At 43.3% G+C, this 17,327-nt stretch overlaps 1 pseudogene, besides 2 other annotated features; it reads right to left on the bottom strand.

Annotated features, from left to right (window-relative positions):
* Positions 815-2,014: an enhancer, noted in NCBI's record as "CDK7 strongly-dependent group 2 enhancer chr2:30440807-30442006 (GRCh37/hg19 assembly coordinates)". NCBI's record gives its function as "activates an origin of replication core promoter dependent on BRD2, BRD4, P300/CBP, MED14 and CDK7 cofactors, with strong dependence on CDK7, by STARR-seq in HCT116 cells {active_cell/tissue: HCT116}" and the evidence as "EXISTENCE:reporter gene assay evidence [ECO:0000049][PMID:35650434]".
* Positions 9,465-9,928, bottom strand: H3P5 (H3 histone pseudogene 5; annotated as a pseudogene).
* Positions 11,123-11,347: a silencer, noted in NCBI's record as "fragment chr2:30431474-30431698 (GRCh37/hg19 assembly coordinates)". NCBI's record gives its function as "represses an EF-1alpha promoter that drives an FKBP-Casp9 reporter gene in an ReSE screen in HepG2 liver carcinoma cells {active_cell/tissue: HepG2}" and the evidence as "EXISTENCE:reporter gene assay evidence [ECO:0000049][PMID:32094911]".

Genomic DNA, 17,327 nt, shown 5'->3' with positions numbered 1-17,327 from the left:
CAGGAAACTCCATCCCAGAAAACTCCCTATGGTGTATGGTAGGGCTGTTGTTGGGGATGCTCTTGGTGGCCTTCCACTGTGTCTTCCAATTCTTTCTCATGAGGCCCCATGGGGAGCCTCAGCATCAGGAATAGATGTGCTTCTCTGCAGCAGCTGCCTGGTTTTTCTTATCATGGGTGCAGTGCTGTACGTGCATTTCTTTAACTTTTGCTTTGTGGGTTGGGAAGTCAGAGTTTGATTTGAAAGTGTACAGGACCTTACAGCAATAAGGTAGCAGCCACACTGGGCTTTGTCCTCTGTTATCTATTATTTTTCCTTTCCCTCTATATTCTATTTTTTAAACTTTGTTCTATTTTATGTGGTTTTTGTAAACTCGGATACTTTCTGTAAAGATGTAAAATATAAAGAACAAAATTACTTATGTCTTCTTTGGAGGCCTTCAGTTTGTCTTGGGACGTGGCGCTGTATTTTCCTCTGTGCAACAACTTTCCAGGGACGGAATTGCTGTGGACTTCCAGGAGGGCCCAAATCTGGCCTCCCCACACTGCAGTACAAATCATGGCTGCATCTTGGCACCACTAGGAATGAGGTTGCAATGTTAATGGGTCCCTGGAGCAGACTGACTTGTTGAGTGGTCACCAAAATTCAGGTCTTCCAAGTTTTCAGACTCTCCAAGGGAGAGTCTCACATTGTCCTCACTTTTTCCTGATTATAATGAGTGGCCAGGGACAGCCAGTGGGGCCACCTCACTCCTTATGATCCAGACATGACTCAAGTTTCTACCTGAAAGCTGCCTGGGTTTTGCAAGGACACACCACCATTCTTCAAGGTATTTAAATACCTCCAGGTGGGTCAGTCTGGTTATATTTGCCTTCACTTTGATGTTTCCACGAGCTGGGGCTTTTTTGTTTTTGTTGCTCTCCTGGAGTCCTGAATGGCCCTTACGAGGCATTCTTTCCAAGCTGACACATCAAAGCAACTCCTCCTGGTATCAAGAACTTTCTCCAACTGCGTGTCCTAGGGGCGAACACATCAGCACCAGAGGGATCTGAAAAACCAGTCTTGTCCACCTTTTGGAGCTACTCTCTCTTTTGAAGAGAGGACCTCCTAGGCCAAACCTAGATAACCAGGATTTCTGAATTCCTGAGCTTGGCCCTGACAATGTACGGACGAAATTACTCATTTCCAGGTGCCAAGAGGGCCGATCACCACAAGCAGACAACACCCGTCTCTACCACAGGCGTTTATTATCTTTTGTCTTTGGGTTATTTCAGATCACTGTGAAAGGAGGGAAGGTAGCAATGAAATCTTTTGGAAATTACACATATAATGCATGAATTAACCTCTCTTAGCTTCAATTTCCTTGCCAGCCAAGGAGGGGGCGGGGATAATAACACCCACCTTGCAGAGTTGGTGTGAAGAGTTACAAGAGATGATAGCAAACATCTGGTACGACACCTGCAGCCTGCATCAGTGCTCCTTAATCAGTAACTATTTTGACCGTGTAAAATGCATACAGTCATCTGAGCATTAAGACTTTGCAAATTCAGAGAGTGGTCCACAGACCAGCACCCTCGGCATCACCAGCCGCTTGTTAGAAAGGCAATTTTCTCAGCCATCCCAACCTGCTGAATCAGAACCTGCATTTTAATGGCATTCCCCAGGTGACCTAGTAACGCACTACAGTTTGAGAACCCTTGATTTAAGGGACAGGAATTTTACCTTTGAATTTGGCGGTGATGGCATTTCTCTTGGCAACAAACAGACAGTTAGTGAGTCCATCAATCAAGTTAAGGCAATATTTACCTAACACAGCGTGCTCCTGGGCCCGAGGCTCACCTTGCTCACCTGCTCTGCTCACCTGCCTCCCGCAGTCACCTGCTCAGTGGCCAAGACTCCGGGGAGATTGCAGGCTCCTTGTTTACCAGGCAAGCACAGATAAGGTTTCTCACAGCCCCACCTGAGCTCCTGTGCCAAGGTAAACTTGCTGTCCAGAATGGCTCCCTGACTGGAAAATGTGTCAGTCTATTTATTTCTCACTCCCACTGGAAAAAAGGTGGGGTGGGGGAGTGACTGGTCATGATGTCATTCTTTCCACGGAACTTCTCAAAGGCATTGCATTTCTCGGTGACTTCCAGGCGCTGCCTGTGTGTCTGCACAGTACGGAGCACAACTGGCCAAGAACGGAGTTTCTCTTCCTTCTCTCACCATGCTGCCCCTCCTCCACCTCCTGCTGGGCCTTTTATTCCCTGTGGGCCTTGCAGGCAGCCCTAAAAAGGAACCTGGAAGCCATGAGGTGTGGGAAAGTTTTCTTGACATTTCTCCCAGAGGTGAACTGCAGAGAAGTGGGAAAAAGGGTGAAGTGATCTTTCTAAAAGCCATACAAAGAATCAACGGCAGTTGCATTCATCAAAATTCTTGCTTACATTTCTCTGGAGAAAAGCTAAGATTTTCTCATTGGGTTTCTGTCCCCAGATTGATGGGAAATGCTAGCAGACAGCACTGGAGGAAATCTGGGCTCACCCAGAAATCTGGGCTTAATCAATGATTTCTGCCATTCATCCTTTTTACCAGGAGGCTCCTACAGCTCCACATTGCTTCCATCCCAAGTCAGAGGCACTTTCTGAAAACACAAAAGTTAATAAATTAAGAGAGGGGCCTTGCGCAGGCCAGTACAGAGAATTTTCGTGAACGAAGAGATAGAAAGCCAGTCCAATTTAAAAGTATTACAATGTTTTTGATAATATTTCAACATGTAGATAAAATCAGAGACTGATACAGTGAATAGGAGTGGACCCATTTTCCAGCTCTATTCTCCAGGGTAGACTTGTAGTAACAAACAACCCCCAAACCTCAGCGGCTGACAGCACTCATCTCCCTCCCATCCTCCCATCCTCCTAGGGTTGCCTGGGGGTGTCATGCTTGCTCAGGGACTGGGGAGGACAGAAGCTTTGTCTCTGGGCTGCCATGTTGGCCAAAGTTTTTGTGCATTGGCTCAAGAGGCCAGAAACACAAGTCAATTCCAGTCACATTTCATTGGCCAAGGCAAATCTCTAGGCTGCTCCTGATTCAAAATGGGTGAGGACATAGAATCCTACTATGGGCCTGGCAGGCAGAGAGCCAGAAATATTTGGTGGGTAGCGCTAATGATGGCCACATCAGCTTTAGCAAATATTAACACATTGCCTTATTTGCTTCATGTCTTTTTACTTCAAAGAAAGTAAATATCAGCGATACAATTGAGTTCCTCTCTGTACACCTCCCTCATCCCATTTTCTTCCCTCATTTCCCAGAGCTAAGCACTGTTTTGAGATCAGTGTTAATCATCTTCACATGTGTTTTTATACTTTTACTATTTTTACTACATTTTTTATGTATCACAGACATTGCAAAGGATTATTATGCCAGCTTTTAAATTTTATATAGTGTATAATCATATCTGTAGTATCACTATCTTCTGCAATATTCATTTCTCCCTTAGCATTACAATTGTGAGATTTTTATCTATGCTGACACATACTGTGTTGTATTCCATTGTATAACTCTAATACAATTTAATTATTCTCTTGTGGATGGACATTTAAGCTGTTTCCAGTACTGCAGTGAATATCTTAATACATGTCTTCTTGACTATATGCCTAGGAGTGGAATTTCTGGACATGATCATCTTCATTAGTTGTTGCCAAATTGCTCTCTGGAGTACTTGGATCAACTTACAGTTCCACTAGCAGTGAATGAGACTCCATGATTTAACATCTTTCCCAACACTTGGCATTGACATACACTTTTGCTATCTGGTGGGTGTGAATGGTATCTCATTGTTGTTTGGATTTGTACTTCTTTAATAGTGAAAGTAAGCATCTTTTTATATTTTTATTGACCTGGAGTTTTTCTGTGAATTGATAGTTTTGTCCATTTTCCCCCATATGTTGTCTTTTTCTTATTAATTAGAGATATCGCTTTGCATATTGTATTCATTGCAAATATTATCTTCCAGTCTATGGCTTGGTTTTCACTTTGTTCTCATGGCCTTTGTTGTACAAAAGTGAGTTTTAATGTACTAGTCCACATTACCACTTTTAAAATTAAACTTACCCCAAGTTTCTATTTTCAGTGTTTTTAAATGAACTCTTCATCTTAAAGTCACAAAGAATTACAAAGAATTTTTCTATGTCTTCATCTTCTGTTTTAAAGTTGTGCTTTTTTTTTTAAGTTTTTAAGTTTTAAAGTTGTGCTTTTTTTTTTTTTTAAGATCACCCAGGAATGATCTGATGTAGAAATCTACTATTTTCCATATGGATAAAGGTTGCTCCTAGCACTCATTTATCAGATAGAATACCCTTTCCCCACTGGCGTGTAACATCATCTCTGCCCCATCTTCTTTCCAAACATGGGCAGGCCAGTGACTGGGCCCTTTATTCTGCTCCCTTACTTATCCTTGTGCGCAGACTATATTGTCTTCTTTTCTAAATATTTTGATAATAAATCTTGATATCTGGTAGGGCAAGTTCTTCCACCTTGTACTTTTTCAAAATTGTTTCTCAGTTATTCTTGGCCCTTTGTGCTTCCAAGGGAATTTTGAGATCAGATTGTCTAGTTCAAAACAAAGCAGAACAAAACCAAACACAATCCAAACCCAACCAAAAAAAAAAAAAAAAAAAAGCTGTGTTAGACTTCAGCTGAAATTGTATAATTGATTTGGGAACAATTGACATCTTTATTATTTTACATCTTCCTTTTTATTTGTTTCCTTTTATCTGGCGTGTTCTCATGCTTTCCAAGCCCTCCATAAGATCCTGAATTTCGTCCTCTTCTTCCCTCTCTAACTCTTCTTACTTTGACCCAAACATGACTGACTTTCTATTTCCTGTTTTGGCTTCAGTATCTTTCCTTACTATACCATCCATCTCTTTCAAAAGTCTCCTAATTCTTTTAACTCTTTTCAGATGTGCAAAAGGTGAAGCCCAGACGCATGTCATAATGATAGGAGGGGAAGGGAGTTCTGGCAGCCTCCTGTGAGGAGATAGGAAGGCGTAATTCCACATGGGGGGTGCACAATAATCTCTCTGAGCTTCAGGATGTAGTATGTGCAGTGGTTAACAGCCCAGCCTGCTCGGTTTGAATTCCAGCTCTATCGTTTACCAACTCTGATCTTGGGTAAATTATATAACCTCAGCATGCCTCAGTTTTCCCTTCTGTAATGCAGGGATGAAAATGTTAATTCTCTCACTGTGTAACTGTGGAAAATAAATGAGCTAAAGTATGTAAAGTACTGGCCGGGCACGGTGGCTCACACCTGTAATCCCAGCACTTTGGGAGGCCGAGGCAGGTGAATCACAAGGCCTGGAGCTCGAGACCAGCCTGGCCAACATGGTAAAACCCCATCTCTACTAAAAATTCAAAAAATTAGTCAGGCATGGTGGGGAGTGCCTGTAATCCCAGCTACTTGGGAGGCTGAGGCAAGAGAATCGCTTGAACCCGGGAGATACAGGTTGCAGTGAGCCGAGATCGTGCCACTGTACTCCAGCCCAGGCGACAGTGTGAGACTGTGTCTCAAAAAAAAAAAAAAAAAAAAGTTCGTAAAGTACTTGGGACAATGCCTGGCACATTGTAGGTGTCTCATATGTGTTAACTATGATTGTCATTACTGAGATACCTAAGGCACACTGGAAATATGGTTAGTTTGAATGTTCAACTTAGATAATGTCAGAGTAGCTCACTAATCTCAACGCCACAAATAGAACTTGCTGGTTAGCGTTGTATCTTCTCATTAAGCAGAAGGGCACCATGGTATGGTGGATGATTTAATCATTAGTGATCCCCAATGGTGCTAGTTTAGCTCAACTGTGTTGTAAATTTCACAGAATCAATGAATTCAGGGTTGGATGGTGGCCAAGATAATCTAATCCAATTTCCTAACTCATGTGTAAAACCTCTTCCAATAAAGCTTCTATAGAAAAGGCAGATTTTTATGAGAGAAGATCAGAAAGGCAGGAATAGTGAAAGAACATCAGACCTCTTGAAAAATGAAATCGAAGAGATGGTAGAAAATAGCATGAATCGATAATGGTTCAAAGGTTGCTGAGAGTAACCATTAAGAGAGACTGAAAGTGAGGGGGTGTTTCTGGAGAGCTGATAGCCTACATCCAGGAGAGAGAGACTTATCCAGGAAAAAGTCAGTTCCTGGGAAGCTAGGGAGTATTTCTCGAGATTCTACATGACTGCCTAAGTGGGCCATTTGAGGGGCTTGGAACATATCTCTCCCGCCTCCCTGCCACCAGGCTGCCAGGGAACGGTGCCCGCTTTGGGTTAAGACTTTGGATGCCCCTATTGAAAGGAAATATATATATAACGTACGAGCAGTAAGACTCCCACAGGGAGGGGTCTGCTTAAGGGGCTGCAGCCCCAGTAGAGGTCATGCGCCTGAGTGTGACGCAGCACAGTCATGAAGCTGGGCTCCCGCCCTGGCTCCACAGCACCTCTGACTCCAGCCCTGTGGCCACCTCCACCTCTCCATTCTCTTAGTTCATTCATTCGTTTAGCACACGGTGGGTACTGATGCCCCAGGAGTACAAAGACAAAACAGCACTCTACCCCTGCCTTTCACGGTGTGGTAGAAGGAAGCCATACCCAAACAGATAAGGGCAACGAAGCTGACCTTCTCAGAGCAGGTGGATAGTGTACTGGTTAGGAGGGCTGAATTTGGAACCAGAAGGGGGAAGCAAATAGTGAAGGGAGGCTATATTTGGAGGTAAGATGACTGAGAATTTTTTAGAAATAAAGAAAATACAAAACTTAGATTGAAAAATAAGCCAAGTGTTAAACAAGACAAATACAAAAAGGAACTCTCACCTAGATACATGGTAGTGAAATTTAAGAACATTAATGACAAAGAGAACATTCTCAAAACATGTATAAAGAAAAACTAGATCAACGAAAAGAGAAAAAGAATTAGAATGACAAAAAAACCTCGATAACAAAACCGGATACAAGAAGACAATGACGTTGGCAGGGCATGATGGCTCATACCTGTAATTCCAGCACTTTGGGAGGCCAAGGTGGGAGGACTGCTTGAGCCTAGGACTTTGAGACCAGCCTAGGGAACATAGCGTGACCTCATCTCTACTGAAAAAAAAAAAAGAAGAAGAAGAAAAAGACAACAAAGTAATATTTTAAAGTGTTGATGGGAAAGAACTTCAACAAACTATCATTTAAATAAAAGTAAAATAAAAATAGTATCAGGTATATAAGGCTTCAGATGGCTTATTCCTAAATCACTTTTGAAACATTCTTGAAGCTAATTTTTCAATAGAGAAATCTGGAAAAAAGGAAAATATATACATAAGTTCAGAAATGTGAGAAATAGTGTTTATCAACAACAAGACGTTGACCAAGCTGGTTTTTTGAAAAGGTTAACAAAATATATAAATGTCTGATGAGCCTGGTGGAGAAAAAAAAGAGAAGATAAAACCATGCATTAAATGCTGAAAGCCACAGGCTATGAAAAGTTTGAGACTAATACTATTATGAAGAATTATAATTTGGAGGCCTACTAAAATTGATACAATTCTGAAAAAATACAAAATTCCAAGACTGGAACAGAATAAATAACAAACTGTTTTGTCAAGTATTCAATTAAGAATTACAATATAATCAAAAACCTTTCTGAAAAGCCCTAGGCTCAGATGGTTTTACAGATAAGCTCTACCCACTTTTAAGGATGAGATAGGGCTGGGTGTGGTAGCTCACACCTGTAATCCCAGCACTTTGGAAGGCCAAGGTGGGTGGATCACAAGATCAGGAGTTCAAGACCAGCCTGGCCAACATAGTGAAACCCTGTCTCTACTAAAAATACAAAAATTAGCCGGGTGTAGTGGCCCATGCCTGTAATCCCAGCTACTCAGGAGGCTGAGGCAGGAGAATCACTTGAACCCCGCAGGCGGAGGTTGCAACGAGCTGAGATTATGTCGTTGCACTCCAGCCTGGGTGACAGAGTGAGACTCTTCTCAGAAAAAAAAAAAAAAAAAAAAAAAAAAAAAAGATAGATAATCTCTTGACATACATAAATTACCCCAGCAAATAGAAATGAGTTCCTCCTTTGCTATAAGACTGCTCTAATCTTTATTACAAAGTCAGAGGAGGATGGCAGAAACACACACACACAAAACTATAAGGCTATTTCATATTTGAAAATTCAGAATAAAATATGTTGATGGTATCCAATAGTGTATTTATTTATTTATAGCCTAATGTATTTTAATAACAAACATACAGGAATTGCACAGAAGACAGACAACATTAAAAATATGTATCTGTGGCTGAGTGCGAGGCTCACGCCTGTAATCCCAGCTACTCGTGAGGCTGAGGCAGGAGAATCACTTGAACCCGGGAGTTAGAAGTTGCAGATCACGCCATTGCACTCCAGCCTGGGCAACAACAGCAAAACTCTGTCTCAAAAAAAAAAAAAAAAAAAAGTACTTGCATGTAGGGCTCAGAAAAGTATAGTGAGTGCGTGGAATCTACTGTATGGTAAAAATGCTGCAAATACCATTTAGTCAATAAGACATTTATTTGTTATAAAAAATATTCAAGTGCTGACATTGTCCAGAAAAATTTAACAGGTTTATTTATAATTGTTATAAAGGTGAACTGCTAAAACGTATTCACTGAAACATTCTTTCTTGAATGCTTTATGTGCCCACATTTATATTAAAAATTCACATGAAAATGGAAAAGCTGCTGCTGTGGTTTGGATATGGCTTGTTTGTCCCCACCTGATGATATGCTGAATTTTTTTTTTTTTTTGACACGGAGTCTCGCTCTGTCGCCCAGGCTGGAGTGCAGTGGCACGATCTTGGCTCACTGCAACCTCTGCCTCCCCGGTTCACGCCATTTTCCTGCCTCAGCCTCCCAAGCAGCTGGGACTATAGGTGCCTGCCACCACGCCCGGCTAATTTTTTGTATTTTTAGTAGAGACGGAGTTTCACCATGTTAGCCAGGATGGTCTCGATCTCCTGACCTCGTGATCCGCCCACCTCGGCCTCCCAAAGTGCTGGGATTACAGGCGTGAGCCACCACGCCTGGCCATGTTTAAATTTAATTTCCAGTGTGGCCATGTTAGGAGGTGGCGCTTAGTGGGAGGTGTTTGGATCCTGGGGGCAGATGCCTCATGTATAGATTAATCCCCTCCCTGGGCATGGGGGTGCGGTGGGGATGAGTGACTTCTCACCTTATTAGTTTCTGCGGAGCTGGTTGTTAGATCCAGGTCCCCACAAACTCTTGTTTCCTCTCACCTTGTCATCTCTGCACATGCTGGCTCCCCTTGCCTTCCACCATACACGGAAGCCGCAGGACGCCCTCACCAGATGCCCCGTCTTGAACTTTCCAGCCATCAGAATAGTGAGCCAATTAAACCTTTTTTCTTTATAAATTACCCGGCCCCAGGCATTCCTTTATAGCAGCCCAACATGGACTAAGACAATTGCCAATACCTGATGTTTCTGTCCTATTTTTCCACATGCAATCATATATTTAGGTACCTTTTGATCCCTTGGGGGGGAAAATCTAATGGTCAGAACTACCAATAACAGAAAGAAGATTTTTTTTTTTTTTGAGAATGAAATGTTCCCCATCATAACAGATTCTTAAGCATGCCCTCCATATATCTGGAGTGCGGGCTGGATATATTTTGGCATAATTGTTACATGTTTGGCACCACTAGCACACAGGTTGGTGTCTTCAAAAAGGCCAAGCAGATAGGCCTCACTTCCCGCAAAACACCAATAGCTGTGTTCTGGAAGCACGATCTGTTTTGAAGTTCTGAGCAGTTTCTCGCACCAGACTCTGGAAGGAGAGTTTGCGAATCTGAAGCTCAGTGAACTTCTGAAAATGTCCAAGTTTGTGCATTGCCACAGTGGCAGGCCTGAAAGCACCCCTCCGGGATAGTCCTAGAGGTTTGGCCAAAGCAATAAAACTAGAAAAATAAAGAAGGACCATAAAGGTAGATGGATATTTCAGGGTTATGCTAAGAATCAGAGTAGGCCAGGTACAGTGGCTCACACCTGTAATCCCAGTACTTTGGAGGCCAAGGCAGGATTGTTTGAGCCCAGGAGTTTGAGACCAGCCTGGGAAACATACTGAGACCCTGTCTCTACAAAAAAATTTTAAAAATTAGCCAGGCATAGTGGCACATGCTTGTAGTCCCAGCTACTCAGGAGGCTGAAGTAGGAGGATTGCTTGAGCGTGGGAGATCGAGGCTGCAGTGAGCTGTGACTGTGCCACCGCACTCTAGCCTGACAGAGTGAGACTTCGTCTCAAAAATAAATAAGATCCAGAAATAACTAAGCCATTTTTAATAGAAAGAGAGAGAGAGGAAGAAGAAGAGAGGAGAGGAGAAGAGAGGAGAGGAGAGGAGAGAAGAGGGACAGGGCGGGGCAGAGCGGAGAGGAGAGGAGAAGAGAGGAGAAGAGAGGAGAGGAGAGGAGAGGAGAGGAGAGGAGAGGAGAGGAGAGAGACAGGTGACCTTACCACAAAGCCATGGTAGTAAAGGATGTGGTATTGGTACAGAAACAAGCAAATCATACAGAACAAACTAAAGAGCTCAAAAATATAAAACCCATTTTTCAATATGAAAACTTGACTTATGATAGAGGTAGCACCCCAAAACAGTAAGAAAAACATGAACTTGGGGACTGGTGGTGGGCTCTAACTAGCTCACTCTATGGAGAAAAATAAAGCTGTATCTCAACTTTATTATATCATAGTCAACTTTATATCATATTCTAAACTCCAGATGGAAATGTGGAATATCTTTGTGAACTCAGGGTGGGAAAACACAAGCCATATTTCTCTTTAGTGAAATTTACAGATAGCTGAGTGACAGTTGGGGAGAATATATTTGCAAACAACAAGAGATGTACACCTAGATTATACAGAGAGCTCTTGCAAACCAACGGGAAAAAGAGAACAATATGTGGGGGAATGGGAACACAAACTGGAAATGATAGGAAAATGAAATAAAACAAGAGAAGGCCTTTGCACAGCTTGACAATGGCAATGTACTGTAAATTGAGAAGGGAAACAGATGCAGAGAAAGGGTCATGGGCTGGAAAATAGCAGATTGACTCCTGGAGTCTTGGATTGCTGATATTCCAATCTTGTGCATGTTCCAGAGTTTTCTTGCTGCCTCTGGGTCCTGGAGGCATCCTCCTGGGGGAAGCCTCTTCTTCAGATGCACCCTGCTGTTGATACATCCTGCCTGAAAGGAGCCTTTGCAGCAGTCCTCACTGGCTCCCTTCTGCTTTCTTAGGCTTTGCTCTCAATGGTTTTCCTGCACTAACTTCCAGACCTCTACGGGCTTGGAAAGGATGTAAGCGGCTAGAATGGCAGGCTTCTGCTCCCTGCTGGCCACTCATGAGCATTACCCTGACAGCTAATCCAGCCATCAAATTCCACCAAATCTGTTTCTTCTTTGAGATCATTTTCTTTCCTGAAGATACATATTCTAAGGATTTTTTTCAGCTCTTACTGTATCTGAACAAAATAAAAATTATGATATTATACTATAAACATCAGACTACAAATCAAGAAACCTGGACTTGAAGCACGTGTCTTTTGTGGGATATTGGGCAAATCTTTCAGCTTCTTTATGCATATTTCCTTATTTGTAAAGTACGTATAATATAATTCTACACATTTTTGAGGGATAGGGTGTATTTGAGAGTGTCACAGAGCTGCGACTGAGGAAATTCCCAGTTAATATTCATTGATATTCATGGCTTTGCAGCGTTGCCACTGTCATTATTCCTCTGCTTATAGGAGACCTGAATTCAGTTCACATATTTCAAAGAACTGTAGAATTGAAAGGTACTTAAAGGCAGTCACAAAGTGGTTTTAAGAGGTTCCTTATAAGGCACATTAAAAGTAGCCAACACCCTTTCCATTGCTTAAATACTCCTGCCCCAAAACCTTACAAAAGGCCTCTGGTGGGAAATTCATTATCTCAAAAAGCAGCCCATTCCCTCATTGGTCAGCTGTGCCTGGGAGCAAGCTCCCTCTCCCTAGTAGGAGAGAACTCCACTTGACAACACCTGCTGAGCCCCAGAATTGAGGTGAAGGGGCAGGTTTGGGTCATATGCTATTTTCTGCCAAAATTCACTGGCTTTACTCATCCGTGGATTCATTTGGACTGGGGACTGCATGATTTTGCATTTATTAAAATATCTCATTCATGAATTCCCCAACACTGGAGTTTCTCTGGGAGAAACAGTCTCCTACCTTACCATGCAGGTGTTCTTGCACACCCTCTTGGCCACTCATGCTCAGTATGAAGTCCCGCCCAGCTGATTGACACCTGCAAGGTAATTGGGGGGCAAGTAAGCCAGGCTGGCATAAAGATTTAGTGAAGGGACCAGCGTAGTGGCTCACACCTGTAATCCCAGCACTTTGGGAGGCCGAGGCGGGCAGGTTGCTTGAGGTCAGGAGTTCAAGACCGGCCTGGCCCACGTGGCGAAACCCCATCTCTACTAAAAATACAAAAATTAGCCGGGTGTGATAGCAGGTGCCTGTAATCCCAGCCTCTTGGGAGGCTGAGGCAGGAGAATTGCTTCAACCCGGGAGCCAGAGGTTGCAGTGAGCCAAGATCACACCACTGCACTGCAGCCTGGGTGACAGAGCAAAACCTTGTTTCAAATAAGTAAATAAATAAATAAATAAATAAATAAATAAATAAATAAATAAATATATAAGTGAAGGGACCAGCTGAGGGCATCTGGCAGGAAGAGCACAAAAAGCAGGCAGCTGGAGTGCATGCAGACAGGGAGGAGGAGGCTGACTTTAGCTACCTGACACTTTTGGTGGAGGAGCTGCTGAAAATCATTTCACAATTTAGCCTTTGCCACTTGAGGGCCAGGTTTTGCATTCCTACATTAAGAAATCGCCCAGCCTGGAAGGCTCCATCTCTCAGCTGCTCACGGCCCTGCCCATTCTCTCCAGAGCTCAAATCTGAGAGCTGAGGTTCTGCCCTGCACTCATTGTGTTCCTGTTTAATCCACGTTCTGTACCCTCTGGAGGAAGTGAGAGGAAGAGCAATGATGGGGGAGATATGGGCAGGTTCCCCCACTCCCTCCTCTCCTTTTATTTGTATTTATAGAGGCAACATTTCCCTGTTTCACTATTTGTGGGGCCTCTAGATAGAATTAATTCTGCTTTTTAAAATCTCCCCTGCTAGACTGTGCATACCCTGAAGGCAGAAGCTGCGGCTGATCTGCTCATATCTCAGGAGCCCACATAGTGCCTGGTATATGACAAGCACTCAAAAATGCGTGTGGAATTTAAATGTATAGCGAGGCATCGGAATGGTTTCAAGTTAGCAATTTGACATCATTTAGTCTAGTGGTATTGAAACCTGAGTGTACATTAGAATCATTTTCAGAGCTTTTAAAAAATATTAGTGCCTGAGTCCCTCCTCAGGCCAATTAGGTCTGAATCCCTGAGAGTCACTTTTTGATGGTTAAAGACCCAGAAAGGGCTCATCGCTTATGGCATGATGCAGTGAATCATTTTAGAAAATGGACATTGCTTTCTAATACACAATATTTATCCATCTTATTATGTTTGAGTTATCATAGAATGCATTTTAAGTTGTGTTCACATGAGCAAAACACATAGAAAAATTTTTATAAAAGTAACTGGGAGGTGGGAGGCCGGGTGTGGTGGCTTACATCTGTAATCCCAGCATTTTGGGAGGCTGAGGAGGGTGGATCACTTGAGGTCAGGAGTTCGAGACGAACCTGGCCAATGTGGCAAAACCCCATCTCTACTAAAAAATACAAAAATTAGCCTGACATGGTGGCACACGCCTGTAGTCCCAGCTCCTTAGGAGGTTGAGGCAGGAGAATCACTTGAATCCAGGAGGTTGCAGTGAGCCAAGATAACATTACTACACTATAGCCTGGGTGACAGAATGAAACTCTGACTCAAAAAAAAAAAAAAAAAAGCAACTGGGACCTATGGAAAGAAAAAGGTAATTTTCACTGGGTATACAGAGGCTTGCCCATTCATGGGATGGCAAAAGGTTCAGCATAAGATCATAATAGTTGAGCCAAATGCTATTTAAAAGAAATGAATAAGTCAAAGGGGATAGAATGGGGTGAGAGAAGAAAGCCCCCCCAACACTGCCACCAACTCCCCACCCCTCACCTGAGTGTCCTCTTGTGATCCCTTCTTTGGAAATCTATATATATCTGAAAGTTCTTCTGTTTAAATGATCAAAAGTGATAAAAATCTAAATGTGGGTTTTAATTTGATTAAAGTGTCTGCTGAGAGATTCTCGCTTGGCTGGCTTCTTGCCTGTTAAGACTCAACTGCATGAAGATAGCAGGGAGCATTTACAGATTGCAGGATTCAGGACTGGGGCAAGGTGGAGGTGAGGAAGAAACTCAGCACCTGTTCCTCTAAGCATGGTTCTGGGCTGGCAGCATGGACCTTGCCTGGGAGTGCATTAGACCTATTGAATCTGAATTTGCATTGTATTAATAACAAGACTCCTGAATGATTTACAGACACACTAAAGGTTAACATTACTGCCTTAAAGAGTGCCCACCCCAGCCTCTGCCTGGTCATTGCCATGAGCTTTCCATAGAGAGGGCTAGAGCTTTTCTTTTGCATTCCAGTAGCCAGTATGTAGCTCTTCCAATATTTTCAAAACCTTTCTGAGCCCTTTCTGACCTTTTCTCTTTATAGGGAAAAGAAAAAAAATTAAAAAGAAATGAAATAGCTGTCATCACTGATTTGAGGCCCCCAAGGGAGAGAGGAAGAGATCAAAAGTCAACATCTGTGATTCTGCAAATAGAAAATGAAATGATTCCCAGGCAGCCTGGGAAGCAGCTCTAGGTTGCTGGGCTGGTCCTCCATGGTCCCATTAGAGGTGACTGTGCTCAATCCAGAGCCTTTAAAGGGAACCCCATGGCTGATGGGCATGGGGAGGCAGGAGTGCCCAGCCCTACTCCCAGGGAAAAGCAACATGTGCCTGGCAAGGCCTGGGACCAGAGGAGTAAGGCTCATGGAACCCTTCTGCTCGCTGGAGACCTTTACGAAGGAACAGAGCAGGATGAAATATCACCTGGATGTAGGGCACTTTGCACAGGTAAAATTCCAGTTACCTTCCCACTCCCTGTCTCTGAGATGGAGACTTGTCCTTCTTCCATCTGGGGACTGAGTCCACCTGGGATGCACACAATAGTTCAGAGCCCTGAGCCTTCTTGCTGTGTTACTGGCAAGTTGTTTTTCAGAGAGAAAAGCTAGAGTGTGGCAGAGAAATCAAGCAGCCAGTGTGGTGGGCATGATGGAGGAGTGGGGGATTCGTTCCAGAGACGGAGGTCTCCCACAAACCCCTGTATCCTCAACCTCACTGGGTTTTCCCGTCAGGGCTCCCAGAAGAGGCAACAGAAGCAAAAGGGGTGGATGTTACAGCTGGTGTTCAAGAGTCCTCTTGTGGGTCAAGTGCGGCACTAGGTCTTTTGCAAGCATTCCCCCTGCCACTCCTAACTAGAACCCTGCAAGGTAGGCAACTGCTCATTTTACAGAATAGGAAGCTGAAGCTCAGAGGCAATGAGTACCATTCCCAAGTTCAAAGAAGTAATAAGAAAATCTAAGGTCAGGGCTTGTAGAAAATCTAAGGTCAGTGATCTTTTCCTTGCCATACCATACCTGCCTCTGCATCCAGGGATTAAAAAGCACCCAATTCGAGTCTCCATTTTTTCTTTTCTTTTTCTTTCTTTCTTTTTTTTTTTTTTTTTTTTGAGCTGGAATTTTGCTCTGTCGCTCAGGCTGGAGTGCAATGGTACAATCTCAGCTCACTGCAACCTCCACCTCGCAGGTTCAAGCAATTCTCCTGCCTCAGCCTCCCGGGTAGCTGGGATTACAAGTGCCTGCCACCACGCCTGGCTAATTTTTGGTATTTTTAGTAGAGACGGGGTTTTACAATGTTAGCTAGGCTTGTCTCAAACTCCTGACCTCAGGTGATCCACCTGCCTCAGCCTCCCAAAGTGCTGGGATTACAAGCATGAGCTACTGTGCCTAGCCAAGTCTCAGTTTTTGAATTAATTAGTCCCAAAACCTTAAGCAAATCCCATCATTTACTGTGGCGTTGGTTTGTTTATTTTTTTGAATGAGAATATTAATAAGCCTTCTTTGTATTGTAAAGTGCCTGGCACACAGCAAATCGCCAATGGATTCTAGTTTTCTTCCTTCTTCCTTTTCAAATGAAGGGACTGGCCTTGGTACTGAGGCGTAAGTCATGAAGGTTTAAGATCGTATTACTGGCCCTCAAGTAGACTGACCATTCTCAGGCCAGGATTAAGATGCAGGGAGCCAAGGGCACCTCCAGCAGAGCTCCTGAGTCAATCAATGGCCACGTAGTTTTGTTCTCCACACCCAAGTGCAATTCCTCATCGGCTTCCTTGGCTCTCAGCTCTGTATACCCTTCTCCTCCATTTAGCCCAAGGACCTCCAAGGAGACAGGCTCACCTTGGCCCAGATGCAGTTTACTTTTCTCTGCTCTGAATTCTAGCCAAGAGTGAAAATCAAATGTACCAGCCTTGGGAACATCAGTTCCTCAGCCCCCTGGCAGCATTCCCAGCCTAGAGGGAAATGAAACCCCTAAGAGGAGCGTGTTCCGGGAGCCAGGACAAGAATGGTCCCTGGACTCCGCCATGTCTTCTCCAGCCTGCATCTCCTCTCTCCAGCCAGGAGAACACACCTCAAGAGTGGTCACGGAGGGTCTGAGCAATTCGGTAGAGAGGGGCCCTGGGCTAGGGTTCCCTGGCGTCCAGAACTGAATGCCTGGACTTCTGTTTCACTGAGCATTTCTTTCCCGACCTAGTACCAGTAAAACAAAAGCAGACCTGTTCCTGGCTTAAACATCAGGAGTAGAGATAAACATTGTCTTCCTTTAGATATTCTTCCCGAGATGTTTGGATTGTAGTTCCTTTTATGGATAAAACTTTAAATGCTGGTGCTCTTTAACCCAGCAATTCCATCTTCCTGAGGACAGATTCAAGGATCTGAACAAAGATGTACACAGATGTTCATGACATTGCCACTTATAATAATAAAAAATTGAAGACAGAATAATGTCCAACAATTGGGAAGCAGTTAAATAAATTATGATATATCTTTATGATGGGCAATTATACCCATTAGAGTGATGTTTTCCAAGAATTTTAATGGCTGGGAATATATAAGAATCTTGTGAAGAGAAAAGTGGGATTCAGAACTACATAAACTAATTATATAATACACGTGTGTATAATATATACACCCATGTA

The sequence above is a fragment of the Homo sapiens genome, chromosome 2 (assembly GCF_000001405.40).
Source record: "Homo sapiens chromosome 2, GRCh38.p14 Primary Assembly".
In the NCBI taxonomy this organism is placed as follows: Eukaryota; Metazoa; Chordata; class Mammalia; order Primates; family Hominidae; genus Homo; species Homo sapiens.
Note: the sequence above shows the minus strand (reverse complement) of the source record. Positions and strands in the feature narration are given on the sequence as shown.